This window comes from Homo sapiens, chromosome 1, assembly GCF_000001405.40.
Source record: "Homo sapiens chromosome 1, GRCh38.p14 Primary Assembly".
Taxonomy (NCBI): domain Eukaryota; kingdom Metazoa; phylum Chordata; class Mammalia; order Primates; family Hominidae; genus Homo; species Homo sapiens.
In genome coordinates, this window is record NC_000001.11 from 100896058 (window position 1) to 100917964 (window position 21907).

The 21907-nt window shown below is 35.0% G+C and overlaps 1 protein-coding gene across 5 annotated transcripts in view, besides 2 other annotated features; it reads left to right on the forward strand.

Annotated features, from left to right (window-relative positions):
* SLC30A7 (solute carrier family 30 member 7) overlaps positions 33–21907 on the forward strand; it is a 99989-nt gene continuing 78114 nt past the window's right edge. For all 5 annotated transcript variants that reach the window (XR_246237.4, XM_017000400.3, NM_133496.5 and 2 more), the window contains exons 1-6: positions 33–285; positions 513–614; positions 10795–10908; positions 15006–15093; positions 16055–16181; positions 17606–17749. Coding sequence is in view for 4 of the 5 variants with exons in the window: in XM_017000400.3 (XP_016855889.1) it covers positions 206–285; positions 513–614; positions 10795–10908; positions 15006–15093; positions 16055–16181; positions 17606–17749 (655 nt within the window). In the remaining variant the exon portion in view is untranslated. The remainder of the gene's footprint in view (positions 286–512; positions 615–10794; positions 10909–15005; positions 15094–16054; positions 16182–17605; positions 17750–21907) is intronic.
* Positions 78–327: an enhancer, noted in NCBI's record as "active region_1388". NCBI's record gives its function as "activates an Ori minimal core promoter by ATAC-STARR-seq in GM12878 lymphoblastoid cells {active_cell/tissue: GM12878}" and the evidence as "EXISTENCE:reporter gene assay evidence [ECO:0000049][PMID:35858748]".
* Positions 378–537: an enhancer, noted in NCBI's record as "active region_1389". NCBI's record gives its function as "activates an Ori minimal core promoter by ATAC-STARR-seq in GM12878 lymphoblastoid cells {active_cell/tissue: GM12878}" and the evidence as "EXISTENCE:reporter gene assay evidence [ECO:0000049][PMID:35858748]".

The following is a 21907-nucleotide window of genomic DNA, read 5'->3' on the forward strand; positions in this document are numbered from 1 at the left end:
CCTGTCCCAGGACGCGTTGCGCGGCCCGGGCCGGAAGTAAGCGAATTCCCGGGTGTGTGTCTGTGTCTGTCTGTGTCTCGCAGCGGCGCGCGGCCCCGGACAAGCGCTGGGGATTCCCGTTTGAGGCGTCACTACTGTCACTGCCATCACCCCACGGAGCCACTTCTAGAGGGGAGTAGACCCGGCCCTTCGCCGGGCAGAGAAGATGTTGCCCCTGTCCATCAAAGACGATGAATACAAACCACCCAAGTTCAATTTGTTCGGCAAGATCTCGGGCTGGTTTAGGTGCGGGGTGCTGTGTTTGCGGGGAGGGGGTGTCCGGCAGAAAGGGAGAAGGCCCAGACCTCAGGATGGCCCGAGGTCCAGTGAGGGAGAGTCAAAAACTCCCCGTCAACCCCTAGCTGTGAAGAAAGGAGCATGTGAACTGGGAGGGTCTTGAAGAGGGTACCCAGCCTCGGGGTCCCGGCACCTCCTTAACTCTCCCGGCTCTTTTCCACGTGTATCATTCCCAGGTCTATACTGTCCGACAAGACTTCCCGGAACCTGTTTTTCTTCCTGTGCCTGAACCTCTCTTTCGCTTTTGTGGAACTACTCTACGGCATCTGGAGCAACTGGTAACCAAAGGGGAAAATGGTTTGGGCGGAAGCTGGGTGTGAGGGAGACGAAGCACTGTTTGCTTAATGCCACGTAGCTCCTCACTAGGAGGTTCAGGTCCTACCTTTGTTACCTACCTCTGCTGCTGAGTTGCTTTCTCATACCCACACCAATCTGGTAGGGCTACAGTTCTTGAGTAAGATCTGGGCCTATCCTGTGCAACCTCTCTTGTCACGCTCCCCTCCAGTTCCATCAGACAAGACTGACAAGCCCCTCCTTATTTTAGCAGATGGGCAGAATCTTTCATTTCTAATTGTAGGCCTTAGGTTTACCCACTTTGTTGGAATTGGGAGAAACTTGTTTGCTGCCTCTCTCGGGGGGGAGTGGCATTTGGATTTCACCCTTAAGATTCTGAGAGAGTATATCTGAGATGTTCTACTTAGTTTGTTATTGGGGCTTGGAATGGGAGGTTTTATAAAGTGATATCGGGAGGAATATGTGTCATTCTCTTCTCTCTTTAATGCCGAAACTGTCTCATGATTTTCCTGTAGTCTTAACTGCGATGTAAAAATCCCATATAGTTTCTAGAAACAACATTTCTTGGGTTTTGGTGGCACCTTTGAGGGTTTTTGTTTTTTTTGAAACATCCTTAGGAGGAGGAAAATCTAGTGTGTAACTCTGTGGCAGTGAAGTTACTATTATTCAGGTATTTGCTGTTGAGTAACTTAAGGTCTTATGAAGTTGTTCTGCTAACAAGACTGTCACACTCCTAGGTGTACTAATTCTGTCTTTAGATCCCATACTCCTTCAAAAATCTGATGAAAGCCAATACTCAGAATTGTACATAAAGCTTCAGGATGTTGTTGGGTTCCCTGTACTAAATCTTGGACTCTAGATTAAGAACCTGTTTTCTATTTATTAAATAGACTTAGTCTCTGTTGTTTAAGACCCATTTTCAGAGAAAATCGCTGTCCTTGATCTTCTGTTGAGATCAAACATTGACAGGTAATATCACCAGGTTTTGTGACATGTATACTTTTATATAATGCTTGGGCTTCTTTCAATTCAACCGTCAATTCAGTTCTATAAAAAATACTCAATAACCAGCAGATTATGAAGGTTATTGGTTTAGTCAACAGTTGGGTATAAAGGCATATTGGCACAATGAAATCTTAATATATGTAATAACCATTTTGAATCCTTTGGGAATCAGATGTGTTAATTTGAAGGATACCCCATCATAGATTAATTTTTTAATCCCATAGTATTAACACACTTTAATATACTGTAGATGTTGAAAGCACTTGTACTTGAATAATCATACTTTATCATAAATATATAATATTTACAGTATATTTTACATTTTTCTCTTCCTAAATTATGCCAAATTAATTTTGGGATATGTGCTGATTGTATCAGGAGTGTATCATAGCTTATATATGCATATTTTGTATCAAGAGTGTATCATAGCTTGTATATGCATATTTTGTATCAAGAGTGTATCATAGCTTATATATGCATATTTTGCTACAGATAGTTTCTATTGCAGTGTTTCACTATGGCTTTCCATTACATAAGTCACTCTGTGAAATATCTCATTCAAGAGATTCACACTTGAAGTTCCTAAACCACCTTTCATGGAAAGTTAAGTATATAGTAACTCTTTTGATCTGTAGAGATCTGTTGGGGAGATTACCAGAACCATTATTTTTTAAGTCAGTATGCATCAGTGCATAACAAAAACATTAGTTGTAGTCGACTTGTTCTTTTACCCTTAGGGGACTTGCTTTTCTTTACTAGTGCAGCTTATATACTGTTTTTCATTGTGTTATGTCTTCTAGCTAGATTTGAAATCTAGCTCCAGTGCATGTTGTACTTAGTTCATTTAGCACGTATCCGTCATCTCATGCCTATTTATGTTAATCTCCAGATCTACAACCAATTATTCTTAAATATTAATTTTTAATACAGATCTCTTGTCATTGATATTTGGGCAGATTTAGGCATTTCTCTGGCCTTTTAATAATCTGGCTTTCTGTGTTTTATTTAGACACCAAAATTTTTAGTTCCTTTTGTTGACTGATCAATAATTTCTTTATATGACCAGAAGATTATCTGTGTTCCTGTAGGTTATATTAGCTTTTCAGTTCCTTGATTAAATTTCTTCCAAAACTCATTTTGTGTATTAGTCAATTCCTTGTTGAATTTCATTCTGTAAAAATAAATTTCAACTTGTTGAGAACATGAAATAACCAAGAATTTTTTTCCTATAGAGGACTGAAACGTGAATAAAACACTCACTTCACAAATAAAGGTTCATAGAAGCAGTTGATCTAATTTTAACAAATGTTAAATTGTTCTGGTTCTTTTTCAGAGCCTTCATTTTAAAGGAAGAACTTAATTATAGTTGATTTATATTTTAGATGATGAGTAGGTCTCTTCAGTGGAACAATAGGTAGTTGTTGTGTGTTTTTCCCCTCAATAAATATCTGCTACCTTTCACCTTCCCACTAGAACGTAAACTGTATTAATGTAGGGATCTTTTCTATCTTATGCAGGCACTTCAGTACATAGCACATAGTGGATGCTTAATACATATTTGCTAAATGAAAGAATGAGGGAATAATTAATGTATGGAATTACACTACCTATACTAAAAATGGTAACTACCCCGTTAAGGAAAAACAGCAATGACAAAACATTAAATTCCATTCTCTCACTCTTAGAAATTGGGAGGAAAATGGTAGAAATTCTATGTGATTTTTCCCTTCCTTCTAGTATTTTATTTTTCATTTACTAATTTATTGTTGAGTAACTGACTAATCTCAAGGTAACATAGTGTAACAATGTGGTTTTGTATCATCTACGGTTAAGTTTGTTTTCAAGTTACAGAAAAACTCTGCACACCTGTAATCTCAGCTACATGGAGGCTGAGACACCAGCATCCCTTGAACCTGGGAGGCAGAGGTTGCAGTGAGCCGAGATTGAGCCACCGCCCCACAGCCTGGGCAACAGAGTAATACTCTGTTTCAAAACAAAACAAAAACCTAAAATAATGGTTGCTTACACAAGATAAAACTTCATTTCCAAGATGGGTGCTAGTGTTTCAGTCATCCCTGGCAGCATAATGTCTGGAATGCAGATAAAAAGAGGTAAAAGGTGTGCACATTTTTTTTTTTTTTAAGATTTACCTGGATGCTAACACACAATGCTTTCACTAAAATTTTATCACATGGTCATGCCTAGTTGCAAATGTAGTCTTTATTCCACTCAGCCATGTATTCTGCGGAAAGTCAAGGATTTTTTACTAAGGAAGAAAGAGAATATGTGGATAGTGTAGGTTTTGGAAGTGGGACTTGAGAGAGAGAGAGAGAGAGACAAACTAACCTGTCATCTTCTATAGTTGGAAAATTGAGGCCTAGAGTTTTTTACTTCCCAAGTGAGCAGCAGAGCCTACAGCACCTATTGTCCAAGTTTGATGTCCAAAAAACATCACACTGGTTTTTTCTAGTATCTCAATATAGTTTCTGTGTTTTTATGTTCTTACATTTTTACTTCATTTTTAACAGATTTAATTTCAGTAGTATTTCTTACCAAAGCTGTTGCAACCATTTTTCCCTTAGACATAGAAGACACTCAGGTAACTCTAAAGGTTAATGTCTTTGTGTTAACAAAGTAAATATTTGTTGAAGAAATGTTTAAGACAATACCAGACATTTATTTGGTTCTACTTCAGTGTGATATTTCACAGCAGATGTTTGTAAAGTAATTCCTTAGTGAAGAAAAATACTTCTATCAATCACATGTTTTTCTATTAAAATTTTCATATATCTTAGTCTTTTAAAATCAACTTTTTCCTTCTCAAAAGGCAGCATTACTTACCAGCTTATGGTGATGGCTTTTGCTTTCCTATAATTTTATTTCCCACCTTAAAAACATAGATAAATATTCCATTTTGCTTAGAATTTTTTTTAAAGTAAGGGACTATATAATGGAATGTAGTGGAGTTCTGGGTTATTTCACTGTAACTCATTTAGTTTATTGACTTTGCTAATGTCAGGATTCTAAGAATTTTCTAATTTCCTGATAATAAATTGACAGTGTTTTTCCCTGACTTTCCACATCATGGAAAGTACCTGGTAAGGGATTTCTGAATTATGATGATTCCTTATTTTCAATTTTGAACACGTTTAACAAACAATATAAATATACCGTTAGCTTAGTTACCAATAGACCTTTTAAACAATTTTTTATCACTGGGTATTTTAAACATATGTAAAAGTAGAGCATTTAATGGACCTCATGTACCCATCACTGAGCCTTAACATTTATCAATACATGGTCTATCTTATTTCATCTGTTGTCCCTGTCCCACCATTGGATTGTTTTAAAGCAGACACAAGATGTAATTTCTTCCATAACTATTTCATTATGCTTCTCTAAAAGATAAAATCCACCCCCCCTTAACATAACCCAAAACCATTATCACCCATGAAAATTAATGACTCATTAATATCCAGCTAACGAGTATTCAGGAGTCCCTCATTGTCTCATAAATTCTTTTTACATTTGGTTTTACAGATTAGAAATCAAACAAGATCCATACATAGTATTTAGCTTATATGTCTCTTAAGTTGCTCTTAATTTATAGGTTCTCTTTCTCCCTTCCTTTGTTTTTGCCTCCAATAGACCCTAAATAAAATTCTTTTCAAAAGTTTCTTTTGCCATATATTCTATTGACATTTGTGCTGTTTTTGCTTCTGTATTTATGTATTCAGGTTTCTCCTTTATACACGTAGAAGTTTTCTTTTTCTTTTTTTTAAGACGGAGTCTTACTGTGTTGCCCAAGCTGGAATGCAGTGGCGCGATCTTGGCTTACTGCAACCTCTGCCCCCTGAGTTCAAGCAATCCTCCTGCCTCAGCCTCCCAAGTAGCTGGGAGTACAGCCACGCCTGGCTAATTTTTGTATTTTTAGTAGATGGGAGTTTCTCTATGTTGACCAGGCTGGTCTTGAACTTCTGACCTCAGGTGATCCACCCACCTCAGCCTCCGGAAGTGCTGGGATTATAGGCACGAGCCACTGCACCCGGCTGGTTTTCCATGTTAAAATGTCTTTAGAAGGTAGTCATTTAAAAGAGTTTACAAATACATTTTAGAGAAACTAGCAGTGCTTAAAGAGGAGTCTACGACAAGTAAGTGGATTTTCACAACCAGCTTTACTTTATCATGGTTTACTGAAGTTACCTTTGGTGTTTCAGTCATGTAACCTTAGGTATTCTCTATGCTACCTTTATTTTTTAAGGAAATTTATAGTTTAAATTTATAGTTTAAATATAATTCATAATCAGAAACATTTGCTAAGATTGAATATGAGCAGTAAAATTGACCTTCCTCATAAGCAATATTTTTACATGTGATAGGTCAGCAGAGAGCTAAAAGTAGACTGTTTTTCCCATGAGTTTGTGTATTTGCAGCTAGGTAATTTTTAAATCATGATATCAAGTTTAAGGGAAAAGATCTCATATTGCAGTGTTTTAAGAGAACATAATGTTCTTCCATCTCAGAAGAGGGAGTAGTTTTTCAGGTAGTCACATTTTATTAAGTACTAAAAATAACATTTTAATGCTAATTAAATTTACTTAAAATTTAAATAAAATTTCATTTTGATGAGTATTAAAATTGCCGTGCTATATCCACACCTCTTTAAAAGGAACCTGACTGCTATTCTGTGCAAAAGGAATTTTTATTTTTATTTTTATTTTTTGCATTATGGCAATATTTGGTTTATGTTGGGTGCATATAAAGTAAATTTGTTGAAAAAAAGGAGTGTGTGTTAGTTTGCTAGTCTGGTGTAATAAAACACCACAAACTAGGTGGCTTAAACCACAGAAATTTATTGTCTCACAGTTCTGGAGATTAGAAGTCAGAGATCAAAGTGTCATCAGGGTTGATTTCTTCTGAGAGCTCTGAGGAAGAATCTGTTCCATGATCTTTCTGTAGCTTCAGTTGGTTTTCTAGTAATCTTGGACAGTCTTTGGCTTGTAGGAGCATCACCTGATCTCTGCCTTATCTTCGCATTGTGATCTATGTATCTTCTTCCAAATTTCTCTTTTTTATAAGGACACTGGATGAGGGCTCACCTTAATGACCTAATATTAACTAATTATATCTGCAATGAGTCCATTTCTAATAAAGTCACGTTCTCAGGTACTAGAGGTTAGGACTTCAACATATGAATTTGGGCGCAGGAACACAATTCAACCCATGACAGTGTTTTACTAAATAATAGTGAAATAGATAGTAAAATATAGATCAATAAATCAGTAAATGTTTGTTTATATTTATTTACAATGAATGCCCTGCCTTCTAAAACTGATTACAGTAATTTAAAATAAAAGCTATATATACTAATAAAACACATTAAGAAATAAAAACATTTAGAAACCATACCTAGGGAGGAAAAAATTAATCTATTAAATATATAGTCTAATTTAGCTCCCAAAATTGACTTTTAAATTTAGTTATAAAATTCCATAAAGTGAACACAACTCTATCATTTTATCAGAGTAGAAAGACAGTTTTCTGAAATCAAATTTTAACAGTATTTTGCCATATTAATCTTTTCTTGGGGGATCGAAAACAAAATCATAGACAATGTCTTTATTAATGGTTTTATCACAGTATAGAGAAATTCTTCACATGAGTCTTTCATACTTCAAAATAAAGTTAAATCATTATTTTCCATGTTACATAGATGTTATGGTTCAAGTGTGTAATTTTCGGTAATCTAACTATACAAGGACAAATCTTAAAATATTAAATCTAAGAGAATTGCATGAATAATATGCCCCTTACCTTGTCCTCATGTATCAGTTTTATTATTCTGCTTTATCATTTATTCACCAATTCTCATTCTGCTTTGAGTTAGATGTCAGATGAGATGGTTAAAGTACTATCTGCACTTAAACTTTCTAATATATCTATATTTCAGTGGAATAAATAAGGTTCATGATAAAAGTTTAAGACATTTTCTAAAATCTTTTGTAATGATTTGGCAGAGGTTTATAAATTATTGTGCTTTTTCTTGTTGGTAAATGATGTGCTTTGACTTAGTTTCTAATTATATAATTATTCCAAATTATGAGAAAAATTTAAAACCATGCTTTTTCTGTATGTGTGAAGAATGTTTTTGACTTTTAGTTTGTAGCACTTCCAACTGATGAAAACTCTAGCATCTAGCCAAATATTAAGAGGTATGGGTTGTGCTTGGGAACACCAGGTATTATAAGCATTAATAATAGTTAATAATTAATAATGTGATTTATTAATAATTAGCAATAGGAATATTAATGTGGTTTTAATGTGACAAGCATTGTGGTAAATGTTTCATATATATTAACTCAATTATTATAACAATTATGACACTTTTATACTATACTCTATTGAAGTGATGGCTAAATTGAGGCACAAAGAAGTTAAGTAACTTACTGGTCACGGAACTAGTAAATTTGGAGCTGGGATTTGAACCCAGGTACTCTGACTTCAGAAGCTTGTTTTTAAAGACTGAACTGATGATTGCTTTCAGAACATTTTTATTGACTTCTCTTCAAGTTCACGGATTTCTTTCCTCAGCTGTGTCCAGTCTGTGATAAGCCAATTGGAAGAATTCTTTATCGCTGATAACTTGTTTTTTGTTTCTAGTATTTCCATTTGATTGTTTTTTATATTTCCCACTTCTCTACCAAATTCCCCACTGGTTCATATTTTTTTGTCCACTTTTTCCATAGATCCTTTAACATATTAATTAGAGTTTATGATAGCTCCAGTATCTGGGTCAATATCTTGGTCTGGTTCTGTTAACTGCTTTCTCCACAGTGACTTCTTTTTTTTTTTGGCTCTTTGTGTATTTTGAAATTTTTTTTATCAAATATTGGACATTATGAGTAAAAAACAGTAGATACTGAGGTAATAGTATTTATGATCGGAAATAGGTATGCCTTGTCTGTCAGACCACTAGTTGGTTGGACTTTGTGCTTTTAGTAATCTCTGTATGGTGCCTGTGCCACAGAAGCTCTTTTCTTCATGCGCTTACTCCTGCCCAAGCTATAGACTGCTGTTGCTTGTTACTCAGTACCCAGTTTATGGTGAAGGCAGAGGGGTATTTGTTAACTTTAACCCAAAGCCTCTGTCTTTGGTAGATTCTGTAAGCCTCAACCTCAGGGGTATGATTTTGTCAACATTTTTACTCCTTCTCCTGTAATAGCCAAACTCTACTGTGTGTATGTTTATGGTCCTGGATGGAGACAACTTTCCTTCTCCATTCTCAGTGGTAGCAGAACGTCTGCTTTGTGTTGGTAGAGGATTTCCTTCCCTTCTTTTGGTGGCTTTTCTTAGTGGGTGCTTTAGTATGTATAATATTAATCTTTAAATTATCACAAATAATATGTCATTTCATGTATCTGATAAGAACCTTACAATAATACACTTTGATTTTCTTATTCCATTCTGTGTGCTATTATTGTCATACCTTAGGTTGTTGACAGTATTTTTTTTCTCTTTCAATACTTTAAAGGTGTTGCTCCATTGCATTCTGGCTTGAATAGTTTCTGAAGAAAAACATGCTATAAATTTTATCTTTATTTTTTTAATTTAATTTTTCTCTTTCTTCCCCTCTGGTTTTCAAAGATTTTTTTATTTCTCTTTGATGTTTAGTGGTTTGTGACGTGTGGAGGGTTTTTTCCTCGCTTGGGTTCATTAAGCTTCTTGGATCTGTGATTTATTTTCTTTTATGAATTTCAGAAAACTCTGAAACATTTTCTCTTTAAATACTTTTCCTATCCCTTTCTTTTTTTCTTTTCTGTTCCTGAGACTCTAAATACATGTATTTTAGTATGTTTGATACGTCCAGACAGGTTTGGGATGCTCTGCTTTTTTTGTTTGTCTGTTTGTTTCCACTCTCTTTTCTCTTTGTGTTGCACTTTGTTTAACTTCTTTTGACCTAACTGATTCTTTCTCTCTGTGTCCAGTCTGCTCAGAAGCCCATGACTGTTATTCCTCCATATTGTAATTTTTAAAAAATTATCATTTCCATTATATTCTTTTATAGTTTTTATCTGCAGAAATTATTCATTTGTTAATGAATTTTCTCTGACTTTATACCACATCCTTTGACATATTAATTGTATTTGTTGTTAAAGTCCTATCTAATAGTTCCAACATTGGGGCCATTTCTGGTTCTGTTGACTGTTGTAGCTCTTAACAATGAGTCTCTCTTTTTTTCTTTCTTGATTTTGTCATTGAGTGCTGGACATTCTGTTTAAAAGAATAATAGAGACTGTATATGTCCAGAAATGGGCACACCTATTTTTCTGTTTGGCCGTTAGTATGGGACTTTCGAAACTATTTGCTCAGTAGTCAAACTGGGGTTGAGCTGGGTTTTGTGTTTTGTTATTGCTGATTTCCACAAATCACAGTCTTTGAATTTTTCAGTGGTTCCTACTACTTTGTGATTAGTATTGGATTTGGAGTACTGCAGGATTTTTTCAGGGTTCTTGCTCCACTCTCAGCTTTTAGCAAGTTCTGCACATATCTCTTTGTGCTCTCACTGGTAGTTTGCTGTTCCTTATACTTTATTCAAGACTTGGTGGGGAGGGTGGGACTAGGTTCTCTTGTTGTATCCCTAGTCAGGCAAGCCTGTGCACCTCAGTGTCAGGGTGAGTATTAATGATCTTGCCGCTCTCCCTCTCTCCCAGCCTGTCCCCACTGTCCTCAGCCTGGTATCAAAAGGGTGGAGCAGGATACTCAACAAAAGCAGACCTTTGCTTTGTAAGATCCTGGGTGCAAGCAGGTATCAGCCTCGTCCCAGTAGTAGATGGCTTTTTTTTTCCTACCTCTCTTTCAGTGGCAGCTGACCTTTGCAAGTGACCAAGGAGTGGTCACATTCCTACCCCTCACCCAGCAGCAGATGGTTTTTGTTTCTACCTCTCTCGCAGCAGCTGGGCTTTTCCTTGTGCAGGAGGTACGAGGGTTTACTTTTTAGATATTTAAAACTTATCCTCAAAGCTATCTATATAGCATATTTAAATTGTTGTTTTAGATGGTTAATTCCTGATGAACAAAGGCTGAATCTTAGACTTTCAGAGAAAGATGCCTACTGTTTGGTTTTTATTATAATTTGTCAATGTGTTTGTTCTTTTCCAGCTTAGGCTTGATTTCCGACTCTTTTCACATGTTTTTCGATAGCACTGCCATTTTGGCTGGACTGGCAGCTTCTGTTATTTCAAAATGGAGAGATAATGATGCTTTCTCCTATGGGTAAGACTTTAAGAAAAAAAATCTTTTTATTGAAGTATAAGATATACACAAAAAAACACTAATCTTAAGCTCAGTGACTTGTTACCAATTGAACACAGGTGTAACTTTTGAATCTTTGAAGCCCCCACTCAGGCCTCTTCGAGTTCCTACCTCCCCAAGGGTAACCACTTTCATGACTTCATGGATGAGTTTTTGAATAGTATATAATTGGAATCTACAGTAATTTGTTGAGATTGTTACCATATAGAGGAATTTCTCAACTTTTTTTTGAAGAAGAAAGTTTTAGTATATGAAAATAGGATTTTTTTTTGCTTTTGCTTTTTTCTTTTTGAATGGATACTTTGCTGTTGATTTATTTAAAATCATTTTCTAATATGGTTTTATATTATGTTCTTTAGCTCTGCTTTTATGTAACAGTTCTTATATGCTTGCCGAGTTGGACAATTAATCAAATATTTGTAGAGCATCTGTATGCTGAAGGGACTACATTGGATCATCTTAGAGGCATAATTTGATTTCTGCCACCTCTGATTGGAGGAAGCAGTGGATTTTTCATTATTTGATTACACTGCCTGAGTGTTTCCTTTTTTGAGTTCATAGAATATTTTGCAGTATAGCTATATATATGTGTAAGCAGAGCTCAGGATGCATACTCTGTTTCTTTCTCTTCCCCACCCCTTTGTCTTTCCTATTCCCTCTCTCTTCTGCTTTCTTACTAATTCTTCCCCTCTGTCCTTTTCCTCCTCTTCTCTTCATTTCCCCTGTGAGTGCTCTTTTACATTCTCTTCCTTCTTCATCTGTCTCTCATATTTTCTGTCTCTCACTCTTGTTCCCTTCCTCAGCCTCTTACTCTCTCTTATCTTCTCCTGAACTCCCTTTTCCTTCTCTTGTCTTTGCTTCTTGTCGCTTGGGCTTGTGCTCATGCTCTTTTTTCCTCTCTCTTCCTTCTTCTGTCCCCCTATACCTTTCCTGTCTTATTCTTTGTTTTCTCCTGCTCTTTTCCTTTACCTTTTAACCCTTTATCTGTCAGGCTCAATCTCTCCTCCTCCTCTTCTCTTAACTTCTTTAGCTCTATTTCTTTTTTGTCTCCCTTTCCAAGTCTCTCTTTCCTTCCTTCACTGATTCTCCTTCCCTGAGCTCTCCCTTTCCGGTGCAGTTTCTCTCACTCTCTCCCTGTCCTTTTTACAGCCATCTTCTTTCATGTACTGTCTCTTAGGCCTCTTGTTATGTCTTTTACTCTCTGTCCTTAACTGCTCCCCCTTTCTCCCTGGCTTGGCTTCTTTCTTTAGCAGGCACACACTCTTTCTTTCACATGCTCTTGTTCTGTTTAGATATTTATTGAGGGTCCATATGAGTCAAATACTTTTCTAGTTCTAATGATGTAAAAATGATCTAATGATGTAAAAACATGCCTCCTGCCTTGCCGGAACTTGTCTCTTGGGCAAACAGTTCTGTAAAAATACAATAATAGCTATATATTGTGACAGTTGCCAAAAAGGAGATGTGGAGTTCTGTGGCAGAACTTGCTGATTTTAGTTATAAGCAAGGGATATGGTTATTTTTGAAATTATAAAAAGTGAGCCAAAAAATACTCATTGTACATTTTATAGTATAGAGCAGTAGATCCTATATATCTATAAATTCAAACAGCTTGACAGCTCAGATAAGAACGCTTTTTATGGCATGATATTGGTGATATGCAAATAATTTAAACAGTAGCTACTAAAAGATTCTTAAGTATATTTTAGATTATTAAAGAAAGATTATATCCAAAGTTATAATTTTTGTTGGAAAATTAGTAATTTATTTATATTATATATCAGAAATCTAATTAGAATAGCTTATTCTACAATCTTTCTGAATAAACAGTAGCTGACTATTGAAAATTCTCAGTTCTTTAACGCTTAGATTTTCTATTGTTTCCAATTTAGAATGTATTGTCTCCTGCTCTAAAATGGTTTTTAGAAATAGCTTTGAATACCTTCAGTACCATAGCAGATTTTAATGTTCAGCTTTAGCTAGTTGATGTAAGAGAATAATATTCTTTCCACCTTTAATTTAATCCTCTCCTCTCTTTATGTGTGTGTGTGTGTGTGTGTGTGTGTGTTTTCTTTTGGGAAAGATTAAAGAATAAAAGCTGGTACAATATTTAACACTATGAATAATTGGTATAGTAATAAGTAGCTTCATTTGTAAACTACTGGTGTCAGTGAATCAAAATGACACTGATTAATTCATGTTAAGCATAGGGTTGAATTCTCATAACCTCCCACCCCAATTCAGGATGACTGCTGTAGCTGACTGACTCTGCAATAGAAGAAAGAGTTGGGGAATATGAGAGCAAGCAAGGACTTTTAAGTATTTCTTTATATAAAAGTCATCTTTGTGTCTTGCCACACTCTTATTTTTTAAAGAGCAAAGACAGCTTAAAAGTAATATACATCCAGTAGGTAGATAGATACATACATACATGCGTATATACATATGTACCTATACTTAAATCTTTTCTATTTTTCTTCCTGGCTCAAGAATCTAAACACTAGCCATACTTAATTAGGCAACAGCACATTCATGAATTACATGTTCTAATTCTAAGACCTACTCAATCTGTTAAGTAAACACAGATATTTGTAAAGGCAAATGTGTTTAGTTTTCATGTGTTTTTGTTTTGAGCCCACAACCAAGTTTAACAAATATATCTTAAACTCAAGCTAATTAAATCACTCCAACATTTTATCTGAACTTAGATAGCACACCTACTAAGCTAGGAATTAGAAACAAAAAGATGCCTGAAAAACATTCTTGCCTTTGATCTTGAAATCTGGTAGAAGTCAAGCACAAAAGGTTTTCAGTCAAGCATTAGTTATGGGACTACAAGGGTAGATTAAAAGAAAATACTTTTTACTTTTGGATAGTAACCCTGCTGATTTATTAGATAAATTCCTAAGTGTAGGCTGTGGAATGCTGGTTGCAAATTATTTGAATTTAATGAACTTTTCTCCAGGAAAAAAAAATATGTTTTGACAAGTAATACGTTATTTGGATGTGTTAGAAGATAGAAATATGCATTATTTCTGGCATAGAAATACATACTATGTTGGAATGCACTTGACAGGACAAACTCCAACATAACTTGATAGAGTACATTTTCAAGAATTCTCTTTAAAAATATTTTTACAGTAAAAATCGTTATTACCTAGAAGTTAACATAGAAACCTAGGAAAAGCACGAGTTTTGATGCTCTCATTATATTGTTTAAGGACCAGAGTGGTTAATTGCTGTTAGCACCCTTTGAATGATGTTTGAACATGTAAAAATGCTAAGTTAAAGTTGTTTCTGATGACTTTAACTAAGCCAAATATACGATACAGAAAAATAAAATCTTTCCCCAATGCTTCACACAGGTAGGAAGCAGAAAGCTTCAGAACTCAATGGAACAAAAGACAGGTATTTTAAAAATAGTTTAATTAGAATTATGTGAAGCTAAAATTGATTCTAAAAATAGGTAATTGAAAGTTTATGCTAGATTTATTAATCTTAGAAAAAGTGTTAGAAATATAAATCTCAAGTTGTCTCTGGCATAAGTCAGAAATAATTTTATTTTCCTTCAGATCGAAGCTCTGCTTTCCAAAGGTTTGAAAGCTAAAAAGTACAAAGCAGAAAGCATAAGGAGTTCTTAGAAAAAGAGAAATTAATAAGTTTAAAAAACCCCCTTTTCCAGACCCTTTCTTCTACTTTTTAGCCGTTAATCCTTCTTTCTTTGTCCACTTGTCTGGTTCTGTTTTTCCTTCTCCACTAGCAACTTGAGATTTAAATTTCTGTGAAAGGTCTTTCTAAAACTACTTACTCTAAGAAGATCTTTGGATTGGCTTGTAAAAATCTGTTTTGTGGCATTCTGCTTTTGAACAATTCGTACTAATTCGTTTCCTCATTTCTACTATATATAAAATAAAATGCACTGTACTATAAACACTAGGGCTTCGCTGGCCACTTATAACCATGTAATATGGTTTGGAATCTCTGAATGTATGTAATTTTACGATTTAATTTTTAAGAAATAACATAATAATTCAGTTATTTACTTTGTTCCTCTTTAGGTATGTTAGAGCGGAAGTTCTGGCTGGCTTTGTCAATGGCCTATTTTTGATCTTCACTGCTTTTTTTATTTTCTCAGAAGGAGTTGAGGTATAGTAGATAATTATTAAAGTCAGTAAATTACATTTCTGTAATGAAAATGTTTATTAATTAAAGATATATGTAAGTTTTTTTCAACTATTATTAAATATTGTGGACAATCTTAGATTAGATATGTGCGTACAAGAGGAGCTTACAAAATAGTTGAAAAATTAAATATATATGAATCTTCTTGGAATTGAAAACAATTAAATGATAGTGCTTTACAAGTTATAGATGAAGTGTTAATACTATGAAATGTAGAGGCACAATCTGGATAGTGAGGTCAGTAGGGAAATATTTCTAAAGAAATTAGAACCAGTCAATCTTTAACATTTGGCGTATTTTTTAAAAAGGAAGAAGACTTAAAGATTAGTGAACTTAAAATGAAATGCAGTATTTTTTTTAATTTTTTATTTATTTAGTTTTTGAGACAGAGTCTCACTCTGTTGCCCAAGCTGGAGTGCAGTGGCGCGATCTCGGCTTACTGCAACTTGCGCCTCCTGGTGTAAGCGATTCTCCTTCCTCAGCCTCCTGAGTAGCTTGGATTACAGGAGCCCACCACCATGCCCAGCTAATTTTTTTTTATTTTTAGTAGAAACGGGGTTTCACCATGTTGGTCAGGCTGGTCTTGAATTCCTGACCTCAAGTGATCCGCCTGCCTCAGCCTCCCAAAGTGCTGAGATTACAAGTGTGAGCCATGAAAGGCAGTATTTCAAGATACCACATAAGAACAAGTTTTGGACCAAATATTTATGCTTTTAAATATTTGTATTTATTTTAAAATAGTAATTGTTACTTTTTCTACAGTATGTGAGCTCTGGTTTTATTTCTATCAACTGTTTTGGGAGATTTTTTTTAGTGTTTTTAATTCCAAAAATAACTGAAAGTGTTTAATGTTGTCTTATGATTTTGTTAGTTGATCAATCAGAAATAATATCTATGCTATTTGTTTGTATTATGTGTTTTCTAGAGAGCATTAGCCCCTCCAGATGTCCACCATGAGAGACTGCTTCTTGTTTCCATTCTTGGGTTTGTGGTAAACCTAATAGGAATATTTGTTTTCAAACATGGAGGTCATGGACATTCTCATGGCTCTGGTATGATGGTTAGGACACTTTGTTTCTTCATTTTCTACTAGGTTTCTGTCATAATTATTTACTTGAGAGAATTAAGTTAAACTATACTGATTTCTGATGTCAACAGACTATGTGAATATCTTCCTGAACTATCCCTTTCACTTCTTTATGCCCCTCCATCTCAGTGCCTTCTCAGAGCTGTGCTTGTATCATGGATCCCACCAGACCTCAGTAGCTTATCTGTTTAGTGTGATATCATTTATATAAAATAGACAAATATCAGAAAACCACAAAACAAATCTACTTATCAGAAAGTTTTGTGTGGGCTGGGCACAGTGGCTTACACCTATAATTCCAGCACTCTGGGAGGCCAAGGCAGATGGATCACTTGAATCCAGGAGGTTGACACCAGCCTGGGCGATATGGCGAAACCCCATCTCTACAAAAAAATACAAAATTAGCCAGGTATGCTGGGTGACAGAGTGAGACTCCATCTCAAAAAAAAAACAAAAAAAACAGGCATGATGGCGCATTCCTGTAGTCTTAGCCACTCAGGAGGTTGAGATGGGAGAGTCGCTTGAGCCCGGGAGGTGGAGGTTGCAGCGAGCCGAGATCATGCCACTGCACTCCAACCTGGGTGACAGAGCAAGACTCTGTCTAAAAAAAAAAAAAAGTGTGTGTGTTTATGAAATGTACTATGTAAATATGTCTTGGAGATCCTCATAGTCATGATTTTTTCATATAGTGCAGTGCTGGATTTAATTTACTGGTATTTAGAATTTTTGTAAAAGTGATATTTTTGACTTGGATAGCATCCACTCTTTTTCTGTCCTTTAGAATAGCCTGTATAAGATGTTGCTCGGTGGTTTAGTCATTTTTAGGTATGCTGTGGAGAAAGGATTCTGCATTCTTTTGCATTTAGCTTTTTCTACCTGCTTTAATGTAATTTTACTGATTCTGTTACCAAATGCAGCAGCTTTCTTGTGTCTGCCTTAATGTGAGCATTTGCATATGTCTTGTTAATCTTTGTTAGTGTGTGTAATAGTACTTTGAAAAATTTTGGGCATGAATTTTGTCTTTGTTGTTTACTGCCTCATCTCCCGTGCCTAGAATGATTCCTATAATAGAAAATGTTACCAATAAATATTTCTCAAATGAATGAATATCATTATCTGACCTCTTTGGAGATATCTGTATACTTCCAGTCAGTACTTATTTTCATTTCCAGTAAGGTCTATCACTTTCCTCTATGCTTTCATTACCTTCTGGTACTCCATAGCAGAAACTCAGGATTGTTTTAACAAATGTGTAACACTTTTTACAAGTAAATGTTTATTGAATTGATCTGAGTTTAGAGCTGATTCTTTGCGCTAGTGTCAGTATAATTGTAACCATTTATATAATATATTTTTACATACCTTCTGTCCTAACACTTTGTTTTCTAGGCCACGGACACAGTCATTCCCTCTTTAATGGTGCTCTAGATCAGGCACATGGCCATGTCGATCATTGCCATAGCCATGAAGTGAAACATGGTGCTGCACATAGCCATGATCATGCTCATGGACATGGACACTTTCATTCTCATGGTGAGTACAGCCTAGAGACAAATGGACAGCCTCCAAATAAACAAGAGTTTTGTGGATTACTTTTCCTAGTTGAAATAGTTTATTAAAAAGATACCAAATCAACTTCTTTTCTAATGAATCAGTCTAAATGGTTCCCAGGGCTAGTTTATTTTTTGTATAGCATGAAATTAACTCAGTATAAGGCAGTGGATGTTCGCTTTTTTCCAGAGGGTATATCATAATAAAATGCCACTTTTTTATGTATTTATTTTTAATTTTTAATTTTTGTGGGTACATAGTAGGTGTATATATTTATGGGTTACATGAGACATTTTGGTATAGGCATGTAATACATAGTAATCACGTAAGGGTAAATGGGGTTTCCATTCCCTCAAGCATTTATCCTGTGTTATAAACAATCCAATTATACTCTTGGTTATTTTAAAATGTACAATGAAATTACAAATTGACAATAGTCACTCTGTTGTGCTAGCAAATACTAGGTCTTATTCATTCAACTATTTTTTTGTACTCATTAACCGTCCCCCTTTCCCTCCCCTCAAATGCCACTATTTTAAATGAGTACTAGTGAATGAGGAACAATTGCATTTTAGGAAATGAAAATCATAATTTTTTAAGCATCACGAGGCCTTTTGTGCTATATTGGCTTATAAAAATATGGTGGAGGTTTTCAATTTTTCACATTTGTATTATAATTTTTGATGTCTGTCACCTGATGTTTACCTCTATGTTTTTTTTAGAAATCTTTGGATGCTAACTTATGTAGCATTGGGTACTAAGTTATGAGGTGTTTATCAACTTAATATTTTATTTTGAATTATATTTTACATAGTTTATAAAGTATAGCTTAATAGAAGCTGCTTGGGTGACACAATTTGATTACTCTCAGTAGAGTGTATGCTTAAGTATTATCTTGTATTTGCAACATAGACAGAATCCTAAAGCTTTAGAATTGAAAATATGAAAGGGACCTTGAAGAGTGAGCCTTCTAAGCCCTTCATTTTTCAGTCTTTGAAATTTTTCCATGAGGCAAGAAAATAGCTTGAACCCAGGAGGCGGAGGTTGCAGTTAGCTGAGATCACGCTACTGCACTCCAGCCTGGACAATAGAGCTAGACTCTGTCTAAAAAAAAAAAAATTTCTAACTACTCTATTGAGATATGATTGACATATGAAAACAGATAAATATTTAATGTATACAACTTGATGAGTTTGAGGTAAGTATGCACCCATGAAACCATCACTATGATTTCTCCAATAAACATATCCGTTCCCACTGAAAGTTTCCTCCTACTCTCAATTCTTTCTTTTCTTTTTTCTTTTCTTTTCTTCTTTCTTTCCCTCCCTCCCTTCCTCACTTCTTTTCTTTTTTCTTTTCTTTTCTTTCTTTTCTTTCTTTCTTTCTTTCTTTCTTTCTTTCTTTCTTTCTTTCTTTCTTTCTTTCTTTCTTCCTTTCTTTCTTTCTTTCTACTTTTGCAGTAAGAGCACTTAACATAAGATCTACACTCTTGGCAGATTTTTAAGTATACAATACAGTATTAGCTATGGGCACTATGCCATACAAATCCCTAGGACCTATTTATTTTGCACAACTGAAACTTTGTACCCTTTGACTAATATTTCCCCTTTTCCAACTTCCTCCAACCACTGGCAACCACTATTCTATTCTCTGTTGCTATGAGTTTGACTATTTTAGATTCCTTATATAAGTGATATAAATGTAGTATTTGTCCTTCTGTGTCTGGCTTATTTCACTTAGCATAATGTCCTTCAGGATCATTCATGTGTCAAAATTAGAAGGATTTCTTTCTTTCTTTAAGGCTGAATGATATTCCGTTGTATGTATATACCACATTGCTTTATCCATTCATCTGTTGATGGACATTTAGCTTGCTTCCATGTCTTGGCTATTGTGAATAATGCTGTAGTGAATACGGAAGTGCAGATATCTCTTTGAGCTCTTGATTTCAATTCTCATGGATATATACCCAGTTTGCTGATCATACGGTAGTTCCATTATTGTTTTTTTGAGGACCCTCCATACTGTTTTCCATAGTGTCTGCACCAGTTTACATTGCCACCAGTAGTATACAAGGGTTTCCTTTTCTCTACAGCTTTCCCAACACTTACTGTCTTTTGCTTTTTTGGTAATAGACATCCTAACAGGTATGATATGATATCTTATTGTGATTCTGATTTGCATTTCCCTGATGATTAGTGATGTTGAGCATCTTTTAATGTACCTGTTGGCTATTTGTATGTCTTCTTTGGAGAAATGTCTATTTTATTCCTTCGGCCATTTATTACTTTTTTATTTTTTTAATAAATTTTTTTATTTTTAATTTTTGTGGGTACATAGTAGCTGTATATTCTTATTATTTATTTATTTATTTATTTTTGAGATGGAGTCTCGCTCTGTCACCCAGGCTGGAGTTCAGTGGTGCGATATCGGCTCACTGCAACCTCTGCCTCCCGGGTTCAAGTGAATCTCCTGCCTCAGCCTCCCGAGTAGCTGGATTACAGGCGTGTGCCACCACACCCAGCTAACTTTTTGTATTTTTAGTAGAGACGAGGTTTCACCGTGTTAGCCAGGATGGTCTCAATCTCCTGACATCGTGATCCACCTGCCTTGGCCTCCCGAACTGCTGAGATTACAGGTGTGAGCCACTGTGCCCAACCAGTAGGTGTATATTGTTATGGGGTACATGAGATGTTTTGATACAGGCATGCAGTGTGAAATAATCACATCATGGAGATGAGGTATCCTTCTCCTCAGGCATTTATCCTTTGTATTACAAACAATCCAGTTACACTCTTTTAGTTATTTTGAAAGGTACAATTAATATTGACTGTAGTCACCCTGTTGTGCTATCAAATAGTAAATCTTATTCATTCATTCTTTTTTTTTTTTTTTTTTTTTTGTACCCATTAACCATCCTCACTCCTGCAGCACCACACTACCCTTCCCAGCCTCTGGTAACCATCCTTCTACTCTCTGCTTCCATGAGTTTAATTGTTTTGAATTTTTGTACTCCACAAATAAGTGAGAACATGCAATGTTTGTCGTTCTGTAACTCTTTGACCATTTTAAAATCAGGTTATTTATTTACCTTTGCTGTTGATTGTGAGTTCTGTATATATTTTATCAGATACATAGTTTGCAAATATTTTCTGTCATTCTGTAAGTTGCCTTTTCATTTTGTTATTTGGTTCCTTTGCCTTGCAGAAGCTTTTTAATTTGATGTAATCCTTCTTGTCTATTTTTGCCTGTTGCCTGTGTCAGTCTCTAAAATATCCTGTATTTTTATAACAGTTACACTGGTATGCTTTAAAACCTTGCTTTTCCAACTTTTTTGCTCACATGCATCCCAAAATAATGTTGAAAAACTGCATATCTCTTACACTTTTGGCTATCAGCTGGATTTTTCAGGGTAGCTACTTCTTCATTCCCATACAGCAGTACAATATCTAGATAGGAAATATTATATGGTGTTATGCTTTTATATTTCTTTGTTACATTATTGCAGAACATTGTTATAATGCTCTATCAAAGCTGTACTGATAAGGGTACCTTGACCTTTTTGGTGCTGTGGGCCATGAACAAATGATGATAGTAGGTACATTGTTAGTTGTGATCAGAAAGCTTGTCAGTCTTCCTGATGATCTGTTTAAACAAATATTGCTCATCTTTTGCCTTGTTTTCCTATATTTTCTGTTTTAATGTTAAAGCTGAATAGTAATTTTCAAGATGTTTAGAGATAGAAATTATAGCATTTTGTCATCATAAAAGCAAAATGAAAAAAATTATTTTTATCTCTTCTGTATCAAGAGTTTGCCACATTAATCTAGAAGCTGTTGAAAACTACTGTTTACCATAGTCAAGTTATCTTTCTATCCTGGCTTCATTTCTTGGACCTCATAACTTCAAGCAGTACATTTGGGTTTCTCTGAATTTTCCAATTGTAAGAGTATTAAAAGATATTTTATGAATACTGGAAGATTTTCACAATGTCTTTAATTTCCTGTGCTTTTAATCTTTTTAATACAATAATTTCTGAAATACTCCATACTTTTGATGAATTTTAAAACTACTGCCACTAAATTTACCTCCACTCAATTATTTTATTAAATTTAAAAAATAAATTTGTAAGTTTGATAT